The sequence below is a fragment of the Homo sapiens genome, chromosome 21 (assembly GCF_000001405.40).
Source record: "Homo sapiens chromosome 21, GRCh38.p14 Primary Assembly".
In the NCBI taxonomy this organism is placed as follows: domain Eukaryota; kingdom Metazoa; phylum Chordata; class Mammalia; order Primates; family Hominidae; genus Homo; species Homo sapiens.
Window position 1 is genome coordinate 13,697,045 of NC_000021.9, and position 8,798 is coordinate 13,705,842.

Here is an 8,798-nt window from a genome sequence, read left to right on the forward strand (position 1 = left end):
GGCTCTGTGCCGGCGCTGGGCTCTGTGCAGCCGCCGAGATGGGGCTGAGCAGCGGATTTCCTCCCTGCTGCAGCTGGAGGACGATTACCTGCACTAGCCGCTGAGGCGGCATCTGGCCCTGGGTTACTGCAGCTGGTGACGCGGGCAGGGTCAGGGTTGGTTGCAGGTGGCAGCTGCTGCTAAACCCATTGCGAGCCTCAGGGTCACCAAGTTCACCGTCCTTTCATCATAGTATCTGATCTTTGGCCCGCGCCCAGAGTGCGGACTGGCCTGCGCTGGGGACTGCATAGCTTCTGGGGGCCGGTCAGCGCCAGTTTCACGTCCTCCTGCAGCTGCGTGGCCTAAGGTCTTAGGCGCCGCGGCGCTATCTGGCCCTGCTGTCGACGCTGCTGGTGGTGGGGACAGGGTCAAGGGTTGCCACTGCTGCTCCCGTGCGCCATCGGCAGGTGGCAGTTGCAGATGAGCCCACAATTGAGGCTGTTGGGGCTGCTCCCAGGTTGTTAGAGGGTCGCCGAGTTCACCGACATGCCACCCTAGGTTACGCTCTTGGCCCGCACCCAGAGCGCCGGGTTACGGGTCCTGGGCCCTGTGCAGCCACGGGGATGGTGCTGAGTGCAGGTTCCCGTCTTCCTGAGATGCGGGGCGACCACTGGAATTAGCCTCTGTGGTGGTATCTGACCCTAGGGTCCGAGCTGCTGGTGGCGTGGGCGGGGTCGAAGTCGCCTCTGTTGCTGCGGCGTGCCATTTGCACCGTCCTCTGGTACAGGCTGGTCTGTGCTGTGCATGGTCAATGTAGTCTTCTCTGGGCATTCTTCACAGATATCTGCTGGCATGGCTCATCTTCTCTTTGATTTTGCATGTATTGTCACCCACTGATGAAGTTTCTGGTCACCTGCCATTTTCCTCTAGCCACCAAGACCTCACATTCTGAGGCCAGCATGTCCCACCAGGGGCCTCCACTGGCCCTGTCAAACCAGTTGTGAGTCCCCCTCCCACCAAGCTTGGAGAGACTGGCTTTTCAGACAGCACTCACAAGCTGAGAGTAAGGGAATTGATCTCTTAGGCACTTCCCCCTGTCCTGCCACTCTGTCATTCCTGGAACACCCTATGTGCACTAGAGAAGTAAGACATCAGCCTGCATATTTTCTCATCTTTCTTTAACTGTCTATTTTTTCCTATCTATCTGTATGAGTGAGTCCCAGGAAGATGTTGGGGCTGAATACCTGATCAGAGACACAGGCAGAGCCATAGTCACATCTCCTGGGAACTTTCTTCTTCCTGTGTAATTAAAAGCTCTTCTCTTCCTCTTGTTCATAGAAATTCCCCTTACACTAAACCTTTGACTGAAACCATCCCCTCAGCTTGATAAAATTTTAGACAGGATTATTTCTGATTCTTGGCTCCTGGCCTCTTTTATTAGCATATTTTAGAAATGTTATCATTGTAAATTCTCTCTCTGCCTCTTTGATATATAAATCTTTTTAAGAGCCCATCTGCCAGTTTTACACTTCAGAAATGTCCATTTCAAGGACCTCAGAGCCATTCCTTTGAAATGTAATCCTCAAGAAAGATAACACCATTATCTCCCAGACTCCATAAGAGAGTAAGAGCCAAATTATGGTGGGCATATTGCTCTGATTTGTAAAATTACCTTCTGTCATAAAGATAAGATAGTTTAATGTTCCTTTGGAAAAAGACAACTGTCAAAAACAAGTGGCCTATGATCACCCCCTCATCCCAGCTCTTAAAATCTCTACTGCTGTTTGTTTCAGTGGAGCTGAGTTCAGACTAAGTTCTGGCCTCTTTGTCCTTTTGCAATAGCCTTCAATAACAGCTTTTTTATGTGTTTAACTTTGTCTGGTGCAATTGTTTTCTTTGACACTTTCCACCCTAACTAGAACTTCCATTAAAGTCATAGTAGGATTCAAGGCAGCCAAACTCGACTCACATACGTAAAAAAACTTCTTAGGATGTAGAAACCCATATTCTCTTCAATAAATTGTTTCTTCAGACCATTGCCTTATTAAAAGTTTCTAGTTCTTATTTTGGCATTGAAAAGCAGAACACCAATTTTTAAATAAGTCTCTGCTCACTTTTAATTTCTGCTATAACAATTTTATTGCTTTCCATGGCTGAACAACGAGAAGACCAGAACACAATTTTAAATTAAATTTTATTTAATTTTTACTATTACAATTTTATTTCTTTCTCTGACTGAAAGAAGAAAACTCGAATAAAGTAGTCTAGTGTATAAAGTGAAGACTAGAACAAAGAATAATGTCTTATTAATACATTTCAGAAAGTTACCTCCATTTAACATCAATGGTGTCATTTAATATTCTTAACTTTCCTATCAAGTAGATGCTATTATTATCTCTATTTTATAGGATATTAAGTCTTATATATTATACATAACCAGCTGAAGGTCATGTAGCATGTAGATATGATAGGAATACAAAGAAACAATGACATTAGAAGCAGAGGAGGGAGAAGGATTACAAGGCTAAACCTAGGTCAGTTAAGAGAAAAAGAAAAACTAGGAGAAGACAAATTCTTGTTAGAAAAAAAAAATGATTGAGGCAGAGCAAGACAGTGGTGCAGACCTCTCCAGCTATCGTACCCCTATAGAAACATCAATATGAACAACTGTCCACATGTGAAATTACCATTACAAGAGCCAACAGAACCTCAATACATGAACAAGGTTATGAAGCACCTTTAGCCTGTGAAGATGGGTGAAACCATGGCTTATGCAGTGAGAGAACCAATACTCTGTGACTGTGATACTCTTCCCTCAGGCCGTTATGGTACCATCTGCAGAAACTCCCACAGGGCTTATAGTTTTTACACTGAAGAAAGTGAGCAGGAGTTTGATATTTGTTTTTTCCACTATATTGAGTTCTTTCACAGTAGCCTCACTCCTGTATCAGCCCACAAGTGGCACCATGAGTGCCAAAAGGGAAGAACCACCTGAGGCATGTTAATGACATAAGAGGAGGTGGGGCCAGCAACAGCCACCATGTGAAACATAATACACAGACTCTACAGGCTTGACGGCCTGACTTGTTCTCCCCCATAGCCAGGGGCTCCCTGTGGATCACCCATGGGCCCAGCCAGCAAATGTTGCATCAGTGGAGCCATTGGAAGACTTACGTCTAACATGGGATTTGGGCTCTCTCTAACGTTAAACTGGAATACGATGATAAGTCCACTCAAAATTTCTTAATAGGCCCACTTAAAAGTAGTCACAAGCAAACCCAGACTGAGAAGACTCAAATAAACATCTAATTCATCAATGTGTAGACAGAGATGTATATCTACATATAATAATGATAGCTTAGGAAAAGTTCCCTCTCCAAATGGACAAAACAAGGTGTCAGCAACTGAACTTAAAGACATACAGATGAATGATCTGGCAGGCAAATAATTCAAAATGGCTGTCTTAAGAAGAGCCTGAACACTGAGAAGCAGAGACACAATTCAGAAATTTACCAGAGAAATTCAACAAAGAAATCAAAATAATGGGAAAAATCACATGTAAACCCTGGAGCAGGAAAGTTCAATGAACACATTGAAAATCCAACGGAAGGCATCAACAGAAGGAAGAACTGATCAAGCAGAAGAAAGAAACATTGAGCTCAAACAACAGGCTCTTTGAAAATACATGGTCAGAGTAAAATGAAAAAAAAGAATGAAAAGAAACAAAGAAAGTTTATGAGATTTGTGGGACACCAACAAAAGAGGAAATCTACATATCATTGGTGTTAAAGTGGAACTAAGAATGAAAAAGAGATAGTTTATTCAAAGAAATAACAGAAAACTTTTTAAACCTGGAGAAAGATTAAAATGTTTAGGATGGTCAAAGTGCCCAATCATATTTAATCTGAATAAGACAACCAAAGACATATTATAATTAAACTCTCAAAGGTCAAAGACAAAGAGAAGACCCTGAAAGGACTAAGAAAAAGGAAACAACACATAAGAGAATTCCATTATGCCTGGCAGCAGACTTCTCAGCAGAAGCACTACAGGCCAGGAGAGAGTAGGATAATAGATTCAAGTGCTGAATTAAAAAAACTGTCAACCATGAATAAAGTATCCAGCATAGCTATCATTTAGAAATAAAGGAGAGATTGAAACATTCTCAGACAAACAAAAAGCAAAGGAATTCATTGTAATCAAACAAGCCTTACAAGAAATGCTAAATATTGTTCTTCAAACTGAAAGGAAATGGCAGCAATATGTAGCACAAAAAATCTGAAGGTATAAACCCACAGATAGAAGTGAGGATTCAGACAAATTTGGAATGCTCTAATACGGTAATAATTGGATGTAAACCACTTATATATCCTTAGTAGGAAGGTTAAAATACAATACAAATAAAATAATAATTACAATAATTTGTTAAGGAATAGAAATATACAAAGATGTAAATTAAGACATCAAAAATGCAAAATGTGAGGGAGTGATGAAGTTAAAGAGTAGAGTGGTTTCTTTTCCCCTTTTTTTGAATCAAAATTAAGTTGCTATCTCTTTAAAATAACTTACTGTAACCATAAAATGTTCTTTGCATGCCTTGTGGTAACCACAAAGCAAAAACTTTTAATAGATACTTTAAAAATTAAAAAAAAAAGAAACCGAAACACACTGATAGAGTAAATCACTTAATCACAAAGGAAGATAGTGAAATCAATCAATCAATCAAAGTATAAATTTTTAAAAAACATGAAAACAAGTAATAATATGGCAGGACCAAGTCCTTGCCTATGAATAATTATCTTGTATGTAAATGGATTATCCCATTTAAGACATATAATGGCTACACTGATTAAAAACAAGACCTAACTATAAACTTTCTACAGGAAATTCACTTCATCTGTAAATACACACATAAATTGAAAGTGATCAGATGGAAAAATATATTTCATAAATATGGAAACCAAAAGAAAGCCGGTATAGATATATTTATATCAGATAACATATACTTCAAGCAAAATCCTATAAAAACAGACAAATATGGCCATTATATAATGATAAAGGGGTCAATATCACAAGATAATATAATTGTAAATATATATGCCCTCTATATTGAAGCCCCTAAATATATAAACCAAACATTAATAGATCTAACAGGAGAAACAGCAAGCAATAAAATAATAGTAAGAAATCTAAACATTCCACTTTCAGCAATAAACAGATTATCAAGACAGAAGATCAACAAAGAAACATCATATTTAAAATGAACTCTAGACCAAATAACTTAGTAGTCATTTACAGAACATGTTATCCAACAATTGCATAATTCACAGTCTTCTCTACTGCGCATGGAACATTTTCCATGATGGATCATATATTAGGCACAAAATGAGCCTTAGCAAATTCAAAAAAGATCAAAATTATATCACGTCTTTTCTGACAATATAGAATAAAACTAGAAATAAACAACAAGAACTTCAGAAATTGTGCAAATACATACAAATTAAACAATGTGTCCTTAAACAATGGGTTAAAAAATAAATTTTGTTTCATTTTAAAATTTCTTAAGACAAATGAAAATGAAATCAGAACATATAAAAACTTAAGAAATACAGCAAAAAAAGTCCTCAGAGGGAAGTTTGCAGAAATACATTTCTATATGAAAAAAAGAAAACTCTCATTAATAACTTAAGAATGTATTTCAAGGAATCATAGAAACATGAACAAACTAAGCCCCAAATTGGTAAAAAAGAATACAAATAATAAAGAATAGAGCACAAATAAACAAAATGGAGACAAAAATATGAAAGATCAATGAAATGAAAAGTTATTTTTTGAAAAGATAAACACAATCGATATGTATTTAGTCAGATTAAGAAAAAGAGAAGATTCACATAAATAAAATCAGATGAAAAAAGACATTGAAATGGTTACTACAGAAATACAAAGAATCATGAGAAAGTACTACAATTATATGCCAATAAATTAGAAAACATAGAAGAAATAAATAAGTTTCTGAACACATATAACCTATCAAAATTGAAGAATGAAGAAACACAAAATGCAAACAGACCAATAACAAATAATGAGATTGAAGCATTGTCTCTCAATACAAGAAAATCTGGAGGGCCTGTCACAGTATCTCACACATGTAAACTCACACTTTGGAGGCCATGGCAAGAGGATTACTTGAAGCCAGAAGTTCCAGATTAGCCTGGGGAACATAGTGAGACCCAGTCTTTACAAAAATAAAAATAAAAATTAGCCAGGTGTAGTGGTGTGCACTTGCAGTCCTAACAACGGGAGGATGAGGCAGGAGGATCACTGAAGTCCAGGAATTTGAGGCTGCAGTGAGCTATGATTGCACCACTGCACTCCAGCCTGAGTGACAGAGGAAGACCCTGTCTCTAAACCAAAAATATTTAATAAGAAGAAGAAGAAGAAAGAAAGAACAAAAGAAAGAAAGAGAAAGAAAGAAAGAAAGAGAAAGAAAGAAAGAAAGAAAGAAAGAAAGAAAGAAAGAAAGAAAGAAAGAGAAAGAAAGAAAGAAAAGAAAAGAAAAGTAAAGTTCAGGATCCGATGCTTACACTGCTGAATTCTTCAAAACATTTAAAGAGGAACTTATAGTAATTATTTACAAATTATTACAAAAAAAGTGAAAAGGAGGAAACTCTTCCAAACTCATTCTATGAAGACACAATTACCATATTCCAAAATGAGACAAGAACAGTAAAAAACTAAACTACAGGCCAATATCACTGATGAACATGAATGCAACAATTCAAAACCAGCAATGCTAGCAATCATAATTTGGAAGTGCATTAAAAAGATGATTCACCATAATCAGGTTGTATTTGTTCCAGGGAGGCAAGGAGGGCTTATGATATGTCAATCAATAAATGTGATACACCACATTTGATAAGGGAAGATAAAAAAATAGTCATTTAAATAGATACAGAAAAAGTATTTGACAAAATTCAATGTTTTTTGTAAACATAAGATCTCTTAACAAATTAGTTATAAAAAGAACATAGCTCCATAAAATAAAGGCCATATATGATAACCCACAGCCAACATGATACTGAATAAGGAAAAATTGAAAACTGTGTCTCTAAGGTCTAGAACAAGACAAGGATGTTCACTTTAATAACTTCTCTTCAACATAGCACTGGAAGTCCTAGCCAGAGCAATTAGGCCAGCAAAAGAAAAGACATCCAAATTGAAAAACAAAAATAAAGTCAAATTGTCCCTGTTTGCAGATGACATGATCTTATGTATAAAAAACCCTAAATACTCTACTGAAAAAACAGAAATAGTAAATGAATACAGTAAAGTTTTAGAATACAAAATCAGCATAGAAAAATCAGTCGCATTTCTATACCCAACAGCATACCATCTGAAAAAGGAATCAAGAAACCAATCCCATTTAAAATAGCTATAAAAAAATGCCTGGGAATAAACTAAGCCAAATAAATATGTCTAAAATGAAAACTATAAAACATTGATAAAAATCAATTGAAAAAGATACAAATAAAGGGAAAGTTATCCCATTTTTATGAATTAGAAGTATTAATACTGTTAAAATGACCATCATACTCAAATCAGTCTATAGGTCCAATACAATCTCTAACAAATTTCCAATGTAATTCTTCAGAGATGTTAAAAAAGGTTTTAAAAATCGTTCTGCGGATGTTAAAAGGATTTTTAAAACGCTTTTTTCGTTCTGCAGGCGAAGGCTGTGGCCGTGCTCCCGCCGGCCAGTTCCCAGCAGCAGCGCATTGCCCCTGCTCCACGCCTTCGCTCCAGGCCCGCAGGGGCGCAGCCCCGCGGGAATCAGCACTGAGCCGGTCCCGCCGCCGCCCCAGTGTCCGGGCTGCGACTGCGGGGAGCCGATCGCCCAGCGATTGGAGGAGGGCGACGAGGCCTTCCGCCAGAGCGAGTACCAGAAAGCAGCCGGGCTCTTCCGCTCCACGCTGGCCCGGCTGGCGCAGCCCGACCGCGGTCAGTGCCTGAGGCTGGGGAACGCGCTGGCCCGCGCCGACCGCCTCCCGGTGGCCCTGGGCGCGTTCTGTGTCGCCCTGCGGCTCGAGGCGCTGCGGCCGGAGGAGCTGGGAGAGCTGGCAGAGCTGGCGGGCGGCCTGGTGTGCCCCGGCCTGCGCGAACGGCCACTGTTCACGGGGAAGCCGGGCGGCGAGCTTGAGGCGCCAGGCTAGGGAGGGCCGGCCCTGGAGCCCGGCGCGCCCCGCGACCTGCTCGGCTGCCCGCGGCTGCTGCACAAGCCGGTGACACTGCCCTGCGGGCTCACGGTCTGCAAGCGCTGCGTGGAGCCGGGGCCGAGCGGCCACAGGCGCTGCGCGTGAACGTGGTGCTGAGCCGCAAGCTGGAGAGGTGCTTCCCGGCCAAGTGCCCGCTGCTCAGGCTGGAGGGTCAGGCGCGGAGCCTGCAGCGCCAGCAGCAGCCCGAGGCCGCGCTGCTCAGGTGCGACCAGGCCCTGTAGCTGTGACTTGGCTGTGGGGCTGGCCCGCCTCCCTGACCCCTGTCAGGCGGAGCAGCTGGAGCTGACCCACGGGCCTGGGCTTTCGAGCGCTTTGTCCAGGCGCTAATGATGGGAAGGTGAAAGGTGGGGGTGGCCACACCCTGCAGTCAGGGTGGCAGGTGTCAGAGGCCACATGCAACCCACTGGTTTTGTCTTTTCCAGGATGCTGATAAGTTTCCCGCGGCCCCCGGAGCAGCTCTGTAAGGCCCTGTAATTGCCTTTCGTTCCCTTCTGCTCTATTGAGGAGTGGGAAGATGACAAAGTGTTTTTGCTCAACCCGAAGGAA

General features: G+C 41.1%; 1 pseudogene; it reads left to right on the plus strand.

Annotated features, from left to right (window-relative positions):
* On the plus strand, positions 7,809-8,474 carry LONRF2P5 (LONRF2 pseudogene 5; annotated as a pseudogene).